The sequence below is a fragment of the Homo sapiens genome, chromosome 1 (genome assembly GCF_000001405.40).
Source record: "Homo sapiens chromosome 1, GRCh38.p14 Primary Assembly".
Lineage (NCBI taxonomy): Eukaryota > Metazoa > Chordata > Mammalia > Primates > Hominidae > Homo > Homo sapiens.
In genome coordinates, this window is record NC_000001.11 from 47,130,900 (window position 1) to 47,151,804 (window position 20,905).

The 20,905-nt window shown below is 45.9% G+C and overlaps 1 protein-coding gene and 1 long non-coding RNA gene across 7 annotated transcripts in view; one reads left to right on the forward strand and one right to left on the reverse strand.

The window, feature by feature from the left end:
* The window catches only part of CYP4A22-AS1 (CYP4A22 antisense RNA 1), an 84,084-nt gene that overhangs the window by 35,360 nt on the left and 27,819 nt on the right, over nucleotides 1–20,905 (reverse strand). The window lies entirely within an intron of this gene.
* Nucleotides 6,542–18,828, forward strand: CYP4A22 (cytochrome P450 family 4 subfamily A member 22). 5 transcript variants are annotated; one of them, NM_001010969.4, is made up of 12 exons: nucleotides 6,542–6,781; nucleotides 9,881–10,022; nucleotides 10,672–10,716; nucleotides 11,209–11,336; nucleotides 12,370–12,494; nucleotides 12,863–13,017; nucleotides 13,458–13,564; nucleotides 13,651–13,841; nucleotides 13,938–14,071; nucleotides 14,967–15,031; nucleotides 15,178–15,254; nucleotides 17,703–18,828. In NM_001010969.4, exons 1-12 carry the CDS (start codon nucleotides 6,587–6,589, stop codon nucleotides 17,896–17,898), a joined length of 1,560 nt encoding a protein of 519 aa, NP_001010969.2. In that variant the 5' UTR covers nucleotides 6,542–6,586; the 3' UTR covers nucleotides 17,899–18,828. The 5 variants fall into 5 exon arrangements, with proteins under 5 accessions (NP_001010969.2, NP_001424386.1, NP_001295031.1 ...); NM_001437457.1 differs by lacking the exons at nucleotides 12,863–13,017; nucleotides 13,651–13,841 and having other exon boundaries at nucleotides 13,886–14,071; NM_001308102.2 differs by lacking the exons at nucleotides 12,863–13,017; nucleotides 13,651–13,841; nucleotides 17,703–18,828 and having other exon boundaries at nucleotides 13,886–14,071; nucleotides 15,178–16,583.

The window sequence follows — 20,905 nt, forward strand, 5'->3', positions numbered from 1 at the left end:
ACTCAATTTGTTTTCATCCTGATCTATTATGTTGTTGTAGACCCTGTTTCAGTTGTTAAAATACTAGGTTATCAGTTCTAAGACCCTGGTAAGGGTTGTGGGGAACGGGTCCCACATAACTGCCCATGTGGAGAGCTGTATGCCTAAATTGGGAGGGACACCAGGGACAAGACTCCCTGGGTTTATAGCCTAGGGGCCTGAGGATGCAGCATAGAGCTTCCTTAGATCCCTTTGGAGATACAACCTGCTCTAATACTTGGGAGAGGAAGTGAAAGCCTGAAGCATTAGTGTCTAGGAGGTAGGGATCAGAGGAAGTCGATTCAGAAGTTAGGAGAATTTTGGGGCTACACTTTCAAGAAAGTCATGGTCAGGACCCAGGAGGTATGAGTCAGAAGGAAAGGTAGGGTCACACACATTGGCCTGTTGTGGGGTGGGGGGAGGGTGGTGGGATAGCATTAGGAGATATACCTAATGTAAATGAGGAGTTAATGGGTAGAGCACTCCAACATGGCACATGTATACATATGTAACAAACCTGCACGTTGTGCACATGTATCCTAGAACTTAACATATAATATAAAAAAAGGAATGAAATCATGTCCTCTGCAGCAACGTGGATACAGCTGGAAGCCATTACCCTAAGCCGATTAACACAGTAACAGAAAACTAAATACCGCATGTTATCACTTATAACTGGGACCTAAACATTGGATACACACAGACACAAAGATGGGAATGGTAGACACTGAGGACTCCAAAAAGGGATGGGATGGAGGGAGGGGGAAAGGATGGAAAAGCTACCTATTAGGTACTGTGTTCACTACCTTGGTCAAACTTTAGCATCATGTGATATACTCATGTAACAAACCTGCACATGTACCCTCTGAATCAACATTTTAACACATAAAATTTTAAAAAAAGAGAAAAAAAAAGAAATAAAGCCATGCACCTACAGCCATCTGATCCTCAACAAAGTCAACAAAAATAAGCAATGGGAAAAGGACTCCCTATACAATAAATTGTACTGGGAAAACTGGGTGACCATATGCAAAAGAATGCAACTGGACCCTGACTTTTCACCATATAAAAATTAACTTAAGATGGATTAAAGGGGCTGGGCACGATGGCTCATGCTTGCAATCCCAGCACTTTGGGAAGCCGAGGAGGACAGATAGCGAGGTCAGGAGATCGAGACCATCCTGGCTAATATGGTGAAACCCCGTCTCTACTAAAAATACAAAAAATTAGCTGGGCATGGTGGTGGGCGCCTGTAGTCCCAGCTACTCAGGAGGGTGAGGCAGGAGAATGGCATGAACCCAGGAGGCTGAGCTTGCAGTGAGCCAAGATCGAAAAAAAAAAAAATGATGGATTAAAGGTTTAAATGTAAGACCTGAAACTATAAGAATCCTAGATGAAAACCTAGGAAACATGATGATTTACATCAGCCTTGAGAAAGAATTTATAACTAAGTTCTCAAAAGCAATTGCAAAAAAGTAAAAATTCACAAGTGGGACTTAATTAAAGTGCTTCTGCACAGCAAAAGAAACTATAAACAAAGTAAACAGACAACCTACAGAATGGGAGAAAATATTCGCAAACTATGCATCTGACAAAGGTCTAATATCCAGAATCCCTAAAGAAATTAAACAATTCATTTTTTTATTATACTTTAAGTTCTGAGATACATGTGCAGAACGTGCAGGTTTGTTACATTGGTATAGATGTGCCATGGTGGTTTGCTGCACCCATCAACCTGTCATCTACATTAGGTATTTCTCCTAATGCTATCCTTCCCCTAACCCACCATCCCAGACAGGTCCCCATGTGTGATGTTCCCCTCCCTGTGTCCATGTGTTCTCATTGTTCCACTCCCACTTATGAGTGAGAACATGTGGTGTTTGGTTTTCTGTTCTTGTGTTAGTTTGCTGAGAATGATGGTTTCCAGCTTCATCCATGTCCCTGCAAAGGACGTGACGTCATCCTTTTTTATGGCTGTATAGTGTTCCATGGTGTATATGTGCCACATTTTCTTTTTCCAATCTATCATTGATGGGCATTTGGGTTGGCTCCAAATCTCTTCTATTGTGAACAGTGCCACAATGAACATACGTGTGCATGTGTCTTTATAGTAGAATGATTTATAATCCCTTGGGTATATACCCAGTAATGGGATTGCTGGGTCAAATGGTATTTCTGGTTCTAGATCCTTGAGGAATTGCCACACTGCCTTCCACAATGGTTGAATTAATTTGCACTCCCTCCAACAGTGTAAAAGTATAGGGAAAAGAAAGAGAGATCAGACTGTTACTGTGGCTATGTAGAAAGGAAAGACATAAGAGACTCCATTTTGAAAAAGACCTGTACTTTAAACAATTGCTTTGCTGAGATGTTGTTAATTTGTAGCTTTGCCCCAACCACTTTGCCCCAGCCACTTTGACCCAACCTGGAGCTCATAAAAACATGTGCTGTATGAAATTAAGGTTTAAGGGATCTAAGGCTGTGTAGGACGTGCCTTGTTAAAAAAATGTTTACAAGCAGTATACTTGGTAAAAGTCATCACCAGTCTCTAGTCTCAACAAACCAGGGGCACAATGCACTGCGGAAAGCCACAGGGACCTCTGCCCTTGAAAGCTGGGTATTGCCCAAGGTTTCTCCCTATGTGACAGTCTGAAATATGGCCTCGTGGGATGAGAAAGACCTGACTGTCCCCCAGCCCAACACCCGTAAAGAGTCTGTGCTGAGGTGGATTAGTAAAAGAGGAAAGCCTCTTGCAGTTGAGATAGAGGAAAGCCACTGTCTCCTGCCTGCCCCGGGAACTGAATGTCTTGGTATAAAACCCGATTGTACATTTGTTCAATTCTGAGATAGGAGAAAAACCGCCCTATGGTGGGAGGCGAGACATGTTTGCAGTAATGCTGCCTTATTATTCTTTATTCCGCTGAGATGTTTGGGTGGAGAGAAACATAAATCTGGCCTACGTGCACATCCAAGCATAGTACCTTCCCTTGAACTTAATTATGATATAGATTGTTTTGCTCACATGTTTTTTGCTGACCTTCTCCTTATTATCACCCTGCTCTCCTACTACATTCCTTTTTGCTGAAATATTGAAAATAATAATCAATAAAAACTGAGGGAACTCAGAGACTGGTGCTTGTGCAGGTCCTTGGTGTGCTGAGTGCCGGTCTCCTGGGCCCACTGTTGTTTCTCTATACTTTGCCTCTGTGTCTTATTTCTTTTCTCAGTCTCTTGTCCCACCCGACTAGAAATACCCACAGGTGTGGAGGGGCAGGCCACCCCTTCATAAAAGCATTCCTATTTCTCCACATCCTCTCCAGCATCTGTGGTTTCCAGACTTTTTAATGATTGCCATTTTAACTGGCATGAGATGGTATCTCATTGCGGTTTTGATTTGCATTTCTCTAATGACCAGTGATGATGAGCTTTTTTTGCTCTGTTTTTTGGCTACATAAATGTCTTCTTTTGAGAAGTGTCGTTTCATATCCTTTGCACACTTTTTGATGGGGTTGTTTTTTTCTTGTGAATTTTGTTTCGGTTCTTTGTAGATTCGCGATATTAGCCCTTTGTCAGATGGATAGATCGCAAAAATTTTCTCCCATTCTGTAGGTTGCCTGCTCACTCTGATGACAGTTTCTTTTGCTCTGCAGAAGTTCTTTAGTTTAATTAGATTCCATTTGTCAATTTTGGCTTTTGTTGCCATTGCTTTTGATGTTTTGGACATGAAGTCCTTGCCCATGCTTATGTTCTGAATGGTATTGCTGAGGTTTTCTTCCAGGCTTTTTATGGTTTTACATCTTAAGTTTTTAATCCATCTTGAGTTAATTTTTGTATAAGGTGTAAGGAAGGGGTTCCAGTTTCAGTTTTCTGCATATGGCTAGCCAGTTTTCCCAGCACCATATATTAAATAGGAAATCCTTTCCCCATTGCTTGTTTTTGTCAGGTTTGTCAAAGATCAGATAATTGTAGATATGTGGTGTTATTTCCGAGGCCTCTGTTCTGTTTCTTTGGTCTGTATATCTGTTTTGGTACCAGTACCATGCTGTTTTGGTTACTGTAGACTTGTAGTATAGTTTGAAGTCACGTAGCATGATGCCTCCAGCTTTGTTCTTTTGGCTTAGGATTGTCTTGGCAATGCGGGCTCTTTTTTGTTCCATATGAAATTTAAAGAAGTTTTTCTAATTCTGTGAAGAAAGTCAATGGTACCTTGATGGGAATAGCACTGAATCTATAAATTATTTTGGGCAGTATGGCCATTTTTACTATATTGATTCTTCCTATCCATGAGCATGGAATTTTTTTCCATTTGTTTGTGTCCTCTTTTATTTTGTTGAGCAGTGTTTTGTAGTTCTCCTTGTAGAGGTCCTTCGCATCCCTTGTAAGTGGTATTCCTAGGTATTTTATTTTCTTTGTAGCAATTGTGAGTGGGAGTTCACTCATGATTTGGCTTCTGTTTGTCTCTTATTGGTGTGTAGGAATGCTTGTAATTTTTGCATGTTGATTTTGTATCATGAGACTTTGCTGAAGTTGCTTATCAGCTTAAGGAGATTTTGGACTGAGACGATGGGGTTTTCTAAATATACAATCATGTCATCTGCAAACAGGGACAATTTGACTTCTGTTTTCCTATTTGAATACCCTTTATTTCTTTCTCTTACCTGTCCAGAACTTCCAATACAAGCAAAAAACAAACAACCCCATTAAAGACACAGACACTTCTCTAAAGAAGACATATGAGCAGCCAACAAATATTGAAAAAAATGCTCGACATCACTAATCAACAGAAATGTGAATGAAAACCACATCTCACACAAGTCAGAATGGCTATTATTAAAAAGTTTCAAAGCAACGTATGCTGGCTAAGCTGCAGAAAAAAAAAAATCATGTGTATACATTGTTTGTGGAAATGTAAATTAGTTCCGCCACTGTGGAAAGCAGTTTGGAGATTTCTCAAAGAACTTAAAATAGAAGTACTATTTGACCCAGCAATCCCAATGTTAGCTATCTATCCAAAAGAAAATAAGTTGCTCTACCAAAAAGACACCTCTACTCATACATTCATCACAGCACTATTCGCAATAGCAAAGACATGGCATCAACCTTGGTGCCCATCAATGGTGGACTGGATAAAGAAAATGTGATACATATACACAGTGGAATACTAGGCAGCTGTAAAAAAAAAATAATGAAATCATGTTCTTTGCAGCAAATGGATGAATTGGGAGGCAATAATCCTAAGCAAATTAACACAGCAACAGAAAACCAAATACCACATGTTCTCACTTATAAGTGGGAACTACATGTTGGATACTTATGGACATAAATATGGGAATGATAGACACTGGGGACTACTAGAGGGGTAGGTACAGATATGAGTAACCATTGGAAATTTGACTAATATATACCATACTCACTACCTGAGTGGCAGAATCATTTGTATCCAAACCTTCAGCATCACACAATATACCAGTGTAAAAAACCTGCATACGTACCTGAATCTAAAATAAAAGTTGAAATTATAAAAAGAGGAACAAAAACAATGCTCATGCACAGATATGCATGTAAAAATGCCAGGGAGGGTTAATTCATAGCAATAGTTACTATTTAACCTACTTTACTTGAGGTTGACAAAGAAATCATTTTTTAAATATTAATTTCTGTTTAGTACAGATTGTCCTTAGTCAGGGCTCCTAAACAGACTGCAAAGTTCTGATTGTATAATTACATACTATTGTAGGATGAAAGAGAATTGGTAAACAGGCTCCTGCTGTGGCTATAGTACTAGACTGAAGTAGGACTAAAATTGCTCTAGGACTTTCTCTGGTAGAGAAGGTAGACCTATCAATGGGGGAAAAAGTCATAACTAACATGATGTAGAATTTTTTTAAATTGTCATGTATATGAATTGAGAAAAAAATCATGCTATGGATATTATGAGACCAGTCTCCCCAATGGAATAAAATAAAGTACTTGAACAGCTGCCATGTTAGCATCTGTTTGTCCATATCATCATCCAGTTAATAGAAAGACATAATTCCCACTCCTCACTCAATATATAGATGGAAGTGGTTTTTATGGTAAATAAAATTAGATTGCAATAAGACAAAAGTAATGATTCAGGGCTTGGTTAATGTTAAGTTTAAATATACATATCATGTTGAGAATTTTCTTTGAACACATAACAAAAAAAAAGTGCTACTGAATGAACATTATTGCAATGTAGTAAAGCAGAATGCAAATTCCTTGAGGTCAGCATTCAAGTCTGTTTTCCTCGCAGCGGTGCCCACACCCCTAGCATACTGCCTGGCACACAGTAAATGCTCATTAAATATTTGTGAGGTACATGGACAGGGGAATGTGGTAGACAGCTGATGAAGCTGTTCTCCCACTGTTCCCCTAGGTGGATCATCCAAAGTCAATCGATTCTGAACTCTGAGGTCCAAGTTCTGCCCTCCCCCTTCACTCTCCCCACAAGTGGGCGGGACAATCCTCCCATGACTTAAGCACAGGTGGACAGGGGTGGTCAGAGAGAGGAAGGGGCACTCAGAGATCCAGCAGGTGCTGCACCATGAGTGTCTCTGTCCTGAGCCCCAGCAGACGCCTGGGTGGTGTCTCCGGGATCCTCCAAGTGACCTCCCTGCTCATTCTGCTTCTGCTGCTGATCAAGGCAGCTCAGCTCTACCTGCATAGGCAGTGGCTGCTCAAAGCCCTCCAGCAGTTCCCGTGCCCTCCCTCCCACTGGCTCTTCGGGCACATCCAGGAGGTAGGGAGGAACTCAGTGGGGGAGTGGGAGGGCAAGGAGGGATGCGGCTCTGAGACCCTGGTCACAAAATCCATAGAGCAAAGCCTTGTTTTGTAACAAACGTGAGGCCTCATAGGAACACCCAGCCTACCTCTCTGGTTTCAGCTTGTCCCAGTCATGAGGAGCTCACTCCTCCCATGAAGCCCATCCTGCTGGTCCTCAGCTCTATCACACATGCCCTCCTTCTGCAGATATCAAGTGTGTCTTGGCAGTCCTGCACATGGAGGGCAATGCCTGATTGTCTCCAGACTGATTACCCCATAAGCCTTGGCTTTTCTCAAAGAACAAGGCTTCTAGATGCTCCCTGTCCAGTCACTCAATGCCATTGTCTCTGCCTGGCCCTGCATTTGCCTGGGAGCACAGACACCCATCTGAGGACTCTGTGCCATGAGGAGTTCATGGTCTGTGAAGAATACAGGCAGGAATTTGAGAAGGTGTCAGACTGCAGGAAAAGAGCTCACTCTGCTGGGGTGGATATCTGAGGCAGAGATCTGCTGGTGTAGGGGACCAACTGGCTAAGTAAGTTTCCCCAAGGCTCACGGAATTTCCACAACAGGTGATTTAGGACCTGAAAACCTGACAATTGTGGGTACACATGAAGGGGGCAGCCTGCACAATGTCCTCCAAGTGAGGAGACTGGTGTTTGAGTTGCACATTGAACAGGGTGTATTGACCTCCTGGCTCTCCTCCCACGCACCCAGACTGTGAGCTCCCTGGAGGTGAGCATGTCATCCCCTTCCTGTGCCCCGGCAATCAGCAAAATCCTGGCACAGCTTGATGGTCAGCTCAGGTGAATAGAGCAAGCTTGTCCAACCCATGCCCCATGGGGCTGCATGTAGCTCAGGATGGCTTTGAATGTGGCCCGACACAAATTCGTAAACTTTCTTAAAACATTATGAGATTATTTTGCAATTTTTTTGAGCTCATCAGCTATCATTAGTGTTCGTGTATTTTATGCACGGCCCAAGATAATTATTTTTCTTCCAATGTGGCCTAGGAAAGCCAAAAGATTGGACACACCAGGTGTAGAGGAACAGAGGAAGAAGAGAAAGGAGCAGCAAGAGGGCTGAGGAGGGACACAGCCCATCCCCTGTGCACTGCTATCCCTGCATGGGGAGAGGGGCGGGTAGGAACAGAGCAAGGTAAACGGCTGCATGGAGAGGGACTCACCAAGGTGCTATGAATTGAACACACTTAAGTAGAGATAGGGGTTGCAGGGAGCTGAGGCCTATTGTTTCTCAGCAAAGGAGGCAACATAGTTCTCAGCAGAGCAGAACCAATGTGGGGACCTGACAAAGTTCTAGCCCTATATGGACTGGTCCCAATACCACTCCACCTTCTTTCCCATTCTCCTCTTTTACCATATGTTACTCACTACCTCACTACCTGCCTCTGCATTTCAACCTCTAGGCCTCTGATCACAATGTGCTTGCTACCTGGAATTATTTTCTCACTCATATCTATCGGTCAAGGCCCAGCACCAAGCTACCTTCTTCAAGAAGGCCTCCTGGGTCTCCCAGAAGTGAAGGGCCGACTCTTTTTTCTATGGGCTATCCTCAAGAGGCCAGAGCAGTGTTAACTTGACTTAGTTACTGTTCTGCAGTGTCATAAGTGTGGGATTCTTCTGGGAGAGACCATCTCTGATTTATGTTTGTAACCTAATAGTCCCTCAGTAAATGATGACTCAGTGAGTGAGGAAGAGCTTTCTAATGTTCAGTTCTGAGTTAGGTCCCTCTTCAAAGCTTCCCCAGATGCTTGTCCTTCATTCCATCTCATGTCCATTATCCCCTACTGCACAGCCTCTAATCTTCCTTACCCCCCAACTAGACTGAAAATTCCACACAGATAAGGACCACAGCTGTGTCCTAACGCAGTGCCTGAGCCACACTGGGCACATAGTATGTGTGCAGTAAGCATGGGCTGAATGAAGGAGCCTACCCCACAGTAGGGCAAGCTGCCTCAGAGCTGGACAATATGATTATCAGAAGGAGGTGGGCAGACATTAGATACTTATGTGGTAGACAGTTGCTTTGAGTTACTAGAAGCAGTTGAAATAAAGAAGAGTTGGCTACATGGAACATCACTAGGACCCAATGTCTTTGAGGGTTCCAGATGAGATTAAAGCAAAGCTGAGTCTTGAAAGCTGAGGAGAGGTGGCTGCTCTGTGGCAGATGGAAGGGCATTCAAGGTAGAGAAAAGAGCAAGTGCCAGGGCCCAGAAGAGTGAGCAGGTGTAGCTGGTGTGTGAATCAGCAGCAGTGGTGGCATCGGCGTTGGAGCTGAAACAAACGGGTGATGGTGGAATTGCCAGCAGGGCTGGAGGCAAGAAAAGAGAAGTTGAAGCCAGAAAGCCAAGGGCTTTGTGATCCACATCGAAGAGTTTAGAAAGATGACTGCAGGCAGCAGGGAGCTCATAATTCATTGATAAGTGAAAATGAGAATAAGAAACCCAAATCTCAAAATTATAGTCCAACACCAGCACCATATGCATATACTCAGACTCCATCCCATAAATCTGTACATATTCAACATGTAGAATACTATTATGCACACAATTTTATAGTTAATCTTTTTTTGCTTAGCCATACACATCCCAAATGCTATTTTATCTCAACAAATATTTACCATATATTCTGGGACAATATTGAAAATATAACAAGTATGATTATATAAAATTATTGTGTAATTTAAAATGTTCACATTAATTCATTTTATTCTCTAGATATACCAAATGATTTTACAAATCTGCTCATCAAGTAATACGAGTTATGCACATTGCCCAAGGAAATTGTTGTATTTATGACTTCCAGAGATGTTACACAACATGAAGACAATGGCTGACTTAAATTTCTGCTGGCAGCATTGAGTGAGGGCTCATAGCGCTTGGCCTAAGGTCAAGTCCTGGGGAGATACAAAGAATCTGGATCACAGCTCAGGTCATCAGAAACAGATCTAAATCCCTAACCCGTGCTACATGGCTCCTGTAGTTGTCCTGCCCTTCACTCCTGCTGCAAAGACTAGAAGTAAATGAAAGTGTTCATCTGTCTACCCTCGTTGACAGTTCCAACACGACCAGGAGCTACAACGGATTCAGGAACGGGTGAAGACATTCCCAAGTGCCTGTCCTTATTGGATATGGGGAGGCAAAGTTCGTGTCCAGCTCTATGACCCTGACTATATGAAGGTGATTCTGGGGAGATCAGGTGAGATCGAACCCCCATCCCAACTGCAATTTCTCTTCCCTCTTGACACATGCCCCTGGGTCTGTAAAATTCCAGAAGAGAGTGGCTGTTCAAACATCAATATCTGAAACCTCTCCCACGCATCCACCAAGCCCACCATGCCCAGGCTGTAGTCAAAAATATTTACTGAATACTGAATGTTTAAAACAATATGTGGGGCTGAATTTTCTATTCTTTTTTCTATTTCTCTATTAAGAAAATTGAGGTTTTCTGAAACGTAAATTGCCCCAGATCTGTAAAACAAATTTCATACCCACATTGACTTGGGTTTCGAAGCTCTAATTGTTGCCTGTCCTGGTCAGGAGGTGACTAGGAAAACATCAATGTAGAAAAACCCATGGCTCTGTATTATTCATTGTCATTGAAGACCTAGCCTATGTATCTCACCAATTCACCTTCCTAGCCCTCTGGGTGTTTTCCTGCTGGAACACTGAGTCTGTCTTCCTGAGCCCACATTGACCTTCAGGACAGAAATAGAAGTGGATGGGAGTCAAGTGGGAGGTGACATGGGTCAAACTGCCAACTGACAGACACCAAGAACTGATGCTGCCTCTGAGACTGCCTTCTTAGTAACTCCTAGTTTCCTATAAAGCCCTTTCTTACTTTTCAGACCCGAAATCCCATGGATCCTACAAATTCCTGGCTCCACGGATTGGTATGTGTGCAAACTAGGACTGCAGCCCACTCCCTAGTTAGGTTTGAGTTATTTATTTGGCTCACAGAGAACAACAGATTAGAGGCCACCACTATCATGACCTCATCCCCAAATCAAGCCTCATTTCCCTCTTCTAACAAGACCCTCACCCCTTCCTAATGCTGGTGCAAACCTTCCTGAGGCTCAGCTTCTTCCATTTCATGTCTCAGTTCTCTCCAGACATCCTTGGCTTCACATTTATTTTACATCTGCCCACAACCCTTTTCAACCTTTATCTCACAGCTGTCATAATCACATGGATGTAGCAGCTCAATTAGAAAATTCACATGCCTGAAATATACCTCCTTTTCCTGCATTTGCCCATGATGTGGCTTCTTCTGGATAGTTCTTCCCCCAGGAAGCCACCTTTCTCCCTCCCAAATTGTCACCAGTCATCCCTAGGTCCGTGCAGCCTCTGATACACACACATACACATATTCGTGTCTACCTTAGGGTACGGCTTGCTCCTGTTGAATGGGCAGACATGGTTCCAGCATCGACGGATGCTGACCCCAGCCTTCCACAATGACATCCTGAAGCCATACGTGGGGCTCATGGCAGACTCTGTACGAGTGATGCTGGTGAGTCCATGTCTCTCTCCTCTCCCCACACCCACTCACAGCACACACTCTCACCAACTCCACTCTCAACCCTGTGTCCCACAGGCAGCCATAGACATAGACACATGGAACAACACTCTCAGGTCATTGCTGTGAGAGTAGAGGGTTCCCCAGAGTTGTATAAGGTAGGAGAACACCCAGGCATCAGGTCATATCCACACTTTGTTCCCCACCATAGGAATAGAGATTCATGGTGAACACAAGGCCCTTCTCCTCCCACTTTGGAACCTCAGCACAAGGGACTGGAGGCATATGCAATCTTGTTGGACAGTAGGACTTCCTATGCTGGCTGGCCTGGGCAATGGCAGCTTCAGTGGCAGCATGGACAGGCCAAGATGTCACCCACCCAGGCTCTGGCCTGGGGCCCCAGGTTTCTGCATGGATTTAAGCCACCCTGGGAAGGAAATGAACACCAGGTCTATGTTCTCAGAGCAATACCTTCCATAGATAGCATCATCTCCAGTCAGGACTCTGATTTCTCACCCAACTGTGCCCAGCACATTTTGATGAATGGAAAAGAATTGAAGTCCCTGTTTTCTCTACAACACAGTGCCCATACTAGCCCCTTAAGCTATCTTTGGCACTGAAACTTTCTGCCCTAAAGTTGGTGTCCTACTAGTCCCTCAGAACTAGCTCAGCTCTCAGAACACTGAAGAGTCCCCCATTATTTATCCCAGAACAACAATAACAACAAAATTTTCACAAGCATATGTCCTAACTGAATCTCAAAATTCAATACTTAATCCATGCTATTGTGAGAGGATCTGTTGAATGTTGTATTAAAAGTGTGTGAGAATTAGGTGTCAGTTTACCAACACTGGCTTTACAGTCCCAGTTTCTACAATGCATCTGCTCTGTAAAGTGAAGAATCCCAACCAAGATATCTGCAAGCTACAGGAAAAAACAAGATATCTGCAGGTACATGAAAAAGCCAGGCCTTATTAGCAAAGCACTTCTTGGAGATTAAGAAGGTCCATGCCCCCTCCCACCACAGGACAAATGGGAAGAGCTCCTTGGCCAGGATTCCCCTCTGGAGGTCTTTCAGCACGTCTCCTTGATGACCCTGGACACCATCATGAAGAGTGCCTTCAGCCATCAGGGCAGCATCCAGGTGGACAGGTCAGTGACAACCCTCCAGCTGCAGGGCCCTTGTTCTTATCAAGTGGAGTGCACATACCTGAGGGGCAGGTGGGGCAGCGTGAAGGCTCACCGCCACACAAAGGAAGAGTCAGTCCCTGACCAAACTCTAATTCCTGTCCAGACCAAACAAAGTCTCAGGAACAGATGCCTAATTCCTAGCACAGGTGGACCCTGGATGTTCATACCATCTGATAAAGGCCAAAGGATAATAGGGCTGTAAGATAGAAGAAACATTGCCTCAAGGCTGCTTGTCCCCATTATCCGAGGCTGCCTCCTCTCAGACCCCATTCTACTTCCGGGTAATGGGCCCACCCCTACTGCGGTCTCTTCTTCATACTCTCCCTCAGGAATTCTCAGTCCTACATCCAGGCCATTAGTGACCTGAACAGCCTGGTTTTTTGCTGTATGAGGAATGCCTTTCATGAGAATGACACCATCTACAGCCTGACCTCTGCTGGCCGCTGGACACACCGCGCCTGCCAGCTGGCCCATCAGCACACAGGTTCTGTCTCTTCCTCTTGTCTCCCAGCCTTTCCCAGGCACAGTGAAAGTACCTGCCCTGACTCCTCAGGCAGAGAAGGTCCCTAGTAATCCTGCAGAAGCCAGAACACACTCAGCCTGGGGAATTCCCTTGCTCAGGGGCTGGGAGCCAAGATGTGAGGGGCCGGATTCTGTGCCTTGGTTTATCAATGTCCCCACATGGAGATAACTGAATGAGACCCTGTCCAAACAGCATTCAAGAGGAGCCTCCATGAACTGTGCCACTGGTGGGAGGGGTGCCCTGCCTCACACAGTACTAGAGCTTCCACCCCTGACCCTGCACCCACACTCACATTCATGCTGAGATCTACCAGGCACCCACACTGGGGCAGTTGGGCAGCTAGGCCTCCTGGGGGCTGCTGACGGTCTCAGCTCTGCCTGGTAACCATTGTTCTGGTACAGACCAAGTGATCCAACTGAGGAAGGCTCAACTACAGAAGGAGGGGGAGCTGGAGAAGATCAAGAGGAAGAGGCACTTGGATTTTCTGGACATCCTCCTCTTGGCCAAAGTGAGTATGTGTAGGAGAGGCCTGAGTCTTTGCCCAGAAGTACATAGCAAGAGACAAGCCCTGCACTTTCACCACGGTCTTCCCAGATGGAGAATGGGAGCATCTTGTCAGACAAGGACCTCCGTGCTGAGGTGGACACGTTCATGTTTGAGGGCCACGACACCACAGCCAGTGGGATCTCCTGGATCCTCTATGCTCTGGCCACACACCCCAAGCATCAGGAGAGGTGCCGGGAGGAGATCCATGGCCTCCTGGGTGATGGAGCCTCCATCACCTGGTGAGTGAGGGCTCAAAAGATGGGGTTCCCTGCCTTCTCCACAGGGGCCCCTGGTCTGCCCAGGCCTTGCTGGTGTTCAGGATGGAATTGTTTCAGGAACCACCTGGACCAGATGCCCTACACCACCATGTGCATTAAGGAGGCACTGAGGCTCTACCCACCGGTGCCAGGCATTGGAAGAGAGCTCAGCACTCCCGTCACCTTCCCTGATGGGCGCTCCTTGCCCAAAGGTATGAAGTTTCCCCACCCTCTCACCCAAAGTCTCCACGGGGACGTGTGGAGGGTGAGAAATCCATGTGTGCTTCAGAGTTCTGCACATCTCTGGGTCTCCCTTTTGTTCTAAAAACATCAAAAACATACTTTGTATTTAGGATGAATTTGAAAAGTCTGGCCGAGAGCTTGAACCCACCGAAAGTTCAAGAAATAAATGTTAATCTCTGAATGTGGCCTTGGGTCAGTAACTGTAAAATCCTATTCCTTGAGATGTGCAGGGCTGGAAAGAGAATCAGACAAGGGCAGAGAGGGATGTGTTTCTTTCCTCATGGGGTCAGTGCAAAAGAGGCTTATCAGGAATCTCATTTCCTGGGTCAGCTGTTGTCCAGTCTCTGAGGAACCCTCAGGTTGATGGCAGAGAGCAGCCAATGACCAGATCTGGGGCCACCAAGCCTCAACTCCCCCAGTTCTGGTCCCAGTCCTGCTATAACCTAGTTGTGTGAACACAGACAAGACAATTGGTCTCTCTGATACTCAGGTATCTCCCCTGAAAACTGAGAGCAAAAGAATGTCTTCCTTGGAGCATTGTTGTATTGAGTGAGTTCATGTATATTCTCCAATGACCCTTGGAGAATATTTGATGAATGTGAAATGTCACTGGACTTACTCTAAAGAGTAATGCTCTGATTCTTTTTTGCTTCTCATTCCTGCATAAATGGTTGTCTATTCATCATCTGAACTCACATGCTTTGTCAAGCCTAACCCACCTGCATAATGGCAGAATCATCCTAGTCAAAGTGACAATTTATAGAAAGTAGGTGTTTTGGGCCTTCTTTTGCCCCTGCAGGCTGAAGTACCAGGCCACCCCATGCAAATGATCGGTCTTCTCTCTCTTTCCAACCTGCACCACAGGTATCATGGTCCTCCTCTCCATTTATGGCCTTCACCACAACCCAAAAGTGTGGCCCAACCTAGAGGTATGTGGTCCTTGAGAGGAGGAAATGGGGTGATCTCTCAAGACCAATACCTTCTCCTGCTTCCACCTCTGGGAGTACTGTACCCTCATGGGTGGCAAGTAGGTGCTGGATCCTTAACTATCCTGGCTCTGGTGCTCTCTCTGCAGGTGTTTGACCCTTCCCGTTTTGCACCGGGTTCTGCTCAACACAGCCACGCTTTCCTGCCCTTCTCAGGAGGATCAAGGTGAGACGTCCTGTGTGGTAATTGGAATAGAGAAATGAGGGAAGTCTCTGGTCAACCCTCTGATCTTTGTGAGCCCGATGTTCATATGTGGCATCTTCAGGTGTGCTCTTAAATATTGGTATTTGTGGGAAAGTCAGGCACCTGGTGTGGGCGTCTCTGTGTACAAAAGGAAGGTGGCATTCAGAGCACCCCATGGAGACTTTGCTCCCTCTGCTTCTTCAAATGGGCAGCCTGAATTCACTGTCAGTGCATGTTCCAAACTTCAGTATATTCATGTATTTTCCTCACTTTAAGGATATGAATTCTCAAAATTAGATATTCTCCAGTAAATTCAACTTCAGCTGTTTGCTTTTCTCAGTTGTCAGGAATAGTAAACTGTAGATTTCTCTCTCCCCACACATCCTCAATGCAGCACACTACCTTCCCTATTTAATTCACTAGTCTGTCGTAGAGATGAATCATTGAAATCTTTGCATCTGTTTATAATACAGATGACCTGCAAGTCCTACCTTTCAAGCCATATAAGGGAGAGGTTAAGGTAGCCCTTTGAAGAAAGTTTTACAACAGTGTGTGTCATATCATACATTTTTCTGTCTTGCCCAATGACATTTTTACTTCATTATATAGTGTTCACATATTTACATCTATTTCCCCATTTGGCAAATTCTGTACATGCCTTGAGATCTTTATACCATAGTCCTGTAATCCACTTAGCACAATATTGGCCAAAAACATAAAAATGTGAACAGTACACTGTCTTGGAGAGAAAAGCCCAATAATTATCATATAACGCACAACATTTGAAGCCTCCTGGTATGTGAAATATAAAACACACTTGAAATAGCTATTGAGCTGGAGAGGAAAACTCCAGAATGGCTGCGGTGGAAATCATCGTGGCATCAGGAATCGTCCTGTGACATACACACAGGCAAAAATGATAAAAATTCTTAGTAGAAACAAAGTTTGTTCAAAGAAATAATTATGTGACTTCTTCAAATGGTGAGTCCACTTACATGGAACAGGAAAGCTTCCTCCTGAAACTCCTTCTCCAGCACTGGTCTGTCTATCCCAGCATGAGGAAGTCCTTGTAAACATTGCCTGCAAATCATGTCGCTGCCACTAGAGAACCGGAGAGCATTCCTAAGCTCCATTTCTAGCTCAGAACTAATATTTTACTCTCAGTGTATTTCATTCTATTTTATTCATTTTAAAACTTAAATAACATCATTCAAATATTAAAGTATTTCTTAAGCTACCTCTCTGGGTCAAGTCCTATGCAGCATGATGAGAAAACAGAGATAAAAGGTACAAAAATGTGTTGTACAGAAATATATCCTGTGCTCCAGACACACATCGTTCCATCAACCATTCTTTCACTCATTCACTCACTGAGTGGCTTGTTGAGTGTCCCTGTCCCTGGTGCTGTCCGTGGCACTGGACTGTGAGTGTTCATGGACAAATCACGAATGCTACCTGGGGGCCTGGGAGGAAGAGGCCCAGCTGGCAGGGAGTGAGAGGCAGCTGGGCTGTGACTTTAGCCTTGAGGATGTGGCAGGCAGAGGTGGAGGGAGGACATTCTCAGCCATCTCCACATGAACAGGGCTAGGATGTGGGCTGGACAGGTAAAATGTGGGTGAGGCAAGAGCCCACGGAGGGCTTGTCTGCCGGCTGAGGCATTGGGATGCTGTCCCACCTGTGATGAAGAGCGTGGGAGGGTCTGAGCTGGGCTGTGGCTTCAGTGTGCAGGGAGGGGAAGCAGAAATCCAGAAAGTCCAAGTGACAAGACTGAGGAAGGACAAGGATGGACGTTTCTGGAGTAGAGTTAGAAGGCTACAGGGGCTGGTGGATGGAGGAGTGAGGTTAGACAGGAGCCCGGACCCTGGGGTGGGAGGCAGGTGGGGCAACACTGAGGATCACCCACCCAGTTCTCCTCCAGGAAGCCTCCCACTGCCCTTCTGACTCCCTTAATACACCCATCGGGGACCCCCTATGAGGATTCAGGTCCCTGTGTGTCCCACTACGTGGGAAGCACCTGAGAGTGTGGCCCACCCTCACCCTACAGGACCTGAACTGACCTCCGCACTGGAGAACAAGAAATGTTTGTGGAGGAGTGAACAAACCATTGATTAACTCTTTATTTATTCATGTGATTAGACTCTGTGCCTTAGAGCCCTGGCCCTGTCTTGATAGAGGGTTTCAGGCTGCTGAGAGCAGAGGTAGAAGGTAGGAGTTAGGAGTTAGCCCAGGAAGACGGCTCTGTCCAAGGTTTGGGACAGTGTGAAGCCAGGATGGGGTAGAAGTGTCCGTGGGCTGTAAGTGTGCAGGGGCTGGACACATGAGGTTGGGCACTGAATGTCCAGCTCAGGGCTGGGGTCAGGGGCCAAAACCTGCTCAGATCAGAATGGGGCCTGAGGACACGTCTCAATTCATTGTCTCCGCCTGGCCCAGGAACTGCATCGGGAAACAATTTGCCATGAACCAGCTGAAGGTGGCCAGGGCCCTGACCCTGCTCCGCTTTGAGCTGCTGCCTGATCCCACCAGGATCCCCATCCCCATGGCACGACTTGTGTTGAAATCCAAAAATGGAATCCACCTGCGTCTCAGGAGGCTCCCTAACCCTTGTGAAGACAAGGACCAGCTTTGAGGGCCTCCACCTGCCATCCTGTCTTCCTGACCCCCACTCCTATCTCCTGCCTGTCTGCCTCTGTCCTGCTTTCTGTCTGCCCACCTTCCCTTCTTCCCACCTGCCTGCTGTCCCCCAGTCTGCCTGCCCTTCTCTCTCTCACCTTTCTCCAAGCTCCCTACCTGCTTGTCTACCTGTCTCCTACCCACCTGTATATCTTGTTGGGAGAAAAGCTGAGTGTTGGGAGAAGCTGAGGCCGAGCTTGCATGTCTGACATAATGTAAAAGAGTCTTGAATCATGTCCAGGATCCAGGGTCTAAAACCCCTTGTGGCCTTTGGAACACCAAGCTCTGTGCTGAAGGGTGGAAGGCTACCCTGACGCACCATAATCTAAGCCCGGGGCATAAAACCCCTCGTGGCTTGGATAGAATCCAGGGCTCGTGGCTCTGGAATGTGTCTGGACTTGCTGGCTCCTCGCTCCTTGCTCTCCCAGGATCAATTGTATCTTGAGTTAAAAGAACCTGCTCTCCATTATCTCAAGTAACAGAGCAGATGCTAAACCGTCACAGCTGTAAATCATGTGCTTAATGCAACATGCCCTTTCGACCCACCCCCCATTCTCACCACCTGTTTCTTTGTTTGATCACCAATAAATAATCTGCACTTCCAGAGCTCGGGGCCTTCACAGCCTCCATACTTAGCTTTGGCGCCCTGGACCCACTTTCTCTCTCAAACTGTCTTTTCTCATTCCTTTGACTCTGCCGGACTTTGTCACCCCCACAACCTGGTGTTGGGTCCGATAACCCCAACATCCCTGAATCTCCACCCACCTCCCAAACTCCTGCCTGCCCTCCAGACTGTCTGCCCATACACCTGTCTCCTTCTTCCTGCCTGCTTGTCTGTTCCTATATTAGTTTCCTATTGCTGCTGTAATAAACTATCACAATCTCAGTGATTTTAAATAACAGCTTTTTATTCTCTTACAGTTCTGGAGGTCAAAGTCAGATATGGGTTTCACTGGATGAAAACAAGTTCTGGACAGGGCCAAACCCCCACCCCTAGAAGATTTCAGGGAGAGCCCTTGGCTTTTCAGCTCCAGAGCTGCCTTTTTTTGCATTCCTGGTACTGTCCCCTCCTTCCTCTTTAAAGCCAATGGCATCTTCAAATCTCTCTCTCTGTGACTGTCTTCACATCTCTTTCCCTCTTATAAGGACCCTTGTGGTTAGTTACATCAAGCTTATTAAGATAATCAAAGATAATGTCACCACCTCAAGATCCGTTACTTACTCAAAAGTCCATTGTGACATATGCAGTCCCACAATCACAGGTTTCATGAATTAGGATGTGGACAACATGGAGACCCCATTGTTCATCCTGGCACAGCCCCTACCTGATTGTCATCTGATGTGTCCATCTAAATCTCTCCTGTATGCTACCTACCTATGTACATGATTGTCAGCCAGACAATCCCTCTATCTTCCCTCCTCTCTAGAATAAGGTTCACAAGCTTGCATGCTTTGTCTAGCTTCACATGGAAGGTGATAGGGTTAGAAGAGGAGACACTAAGGCAGGGAGATAAATCCCTACTGAAGAGGGAAAACGGAGATGAGGTGTGCCCATTGGTGCCAGAACCCTAGCAGGGCCTGATTTGATCCATCCCCCTGCACACAGCCTCATACCATGTCTCCCCTGGTGCCCACACCCTCTCCAGCTCCTGGGGCTCCCATGGTAGCTGAGTTTAGACAAACGATATTTATCTAGGAGATCAGAGGGAGAAGCTCACACCTGTAGGGAAAAGACTCCAGGCCTCCATTCCATTCAAGATTTAGATTCAAGATGAATCACAGCAAGGCTGAGCTAAGAGCCTGTCTTGCTGTGTTTTGTGTTACTGTAACCGAATACCCAAGGCTGGGTAATTGATCTAGAAAAGAGGTTTATTTGTCTCATGATCTGGTGGCTGAAAAGTTTAAGTTTTGGCAGCTCAATCCGATGAAGGCCTCATGCAGCTTCCACTCATGGCAGAAAGCAAAAAGGGAGTGGCATATGCTGAGATTGCATGGTGACAGAGGAAGCAGGAGAGAGACTAAGGAAGCAAGACTCTGTTTTGATCCCGATGTCTTGGAAACCTGTCCATTCCAGATACAGCTAAAACTCAAGCCTGTGAGGTGGAAGGGGTCACTAATCTCTTCATAAAGGATCTGTCTCCACGATCTAAATATCTCCCACTAGGACCCACCTCCCAACACTACTGTGTTGGGGATCAAGGCTTCAGGAGTTTGGTTGGGAACATCCCACATCCCAGCTATAGTGAGGCTGCACTGAGCTGAGCAGGAAAGCCTCAAAGGCCTGGTCTGTCATGAGGACCTTGTAAACTCAGCTCTCCACAGTCCCAGTGAGGTGCAGAAAGAGACCCCAGCCTAGCAACGTCACCAGGTACCTGTCAACTTCCTTCATATATGGAACCTGCAGGCTTCTCAGGAAGCTCATGGAGTGGGCAGCTGTCCAGTCAGGGGTGGGAGGAGCCCAGGTAGGCAAATGGGTCTGGCTGGTGGAAGAGGCTGTTAGACCCCAAGCAGCTCCTTCCCAACAGCACTTCTTGGGAACCAACTTCTTGGTTGTCCTCTGCCTCTCTGGCTGGCCACCCTGATGGGGCAGGGGCATCCTCAACCCTGTCCACACTTGGTGACTGCCTGGGTGCTGGTACTGCTGACCCTGGGCCCTGTTCCAGCACCCGGGCCCCATGTACTACCCCTGGGATAGTGTCACTGATTGTCCCAGCCTCTCTTAATGCAGACCTTGCTTCTCTTCCTAAATCTGAACCCAAATGTTCCTCCCACCAATTGCCCACTCCTAGCCCAGGACCTTGGATGCCATAGAGAGAATTTCCTCTGCCTGAGGTCTGAAAGCTCATTCTGTTACTCTGAAAGGGCTTCTCTTCTAGTTTTTGCCTGCAACTAGGACCTCCCTCCAAGTCCCCTGAGTTCCCCGGTCATTGGATTAATTCAGTCCTGCTCTGAGAATGGGCAGG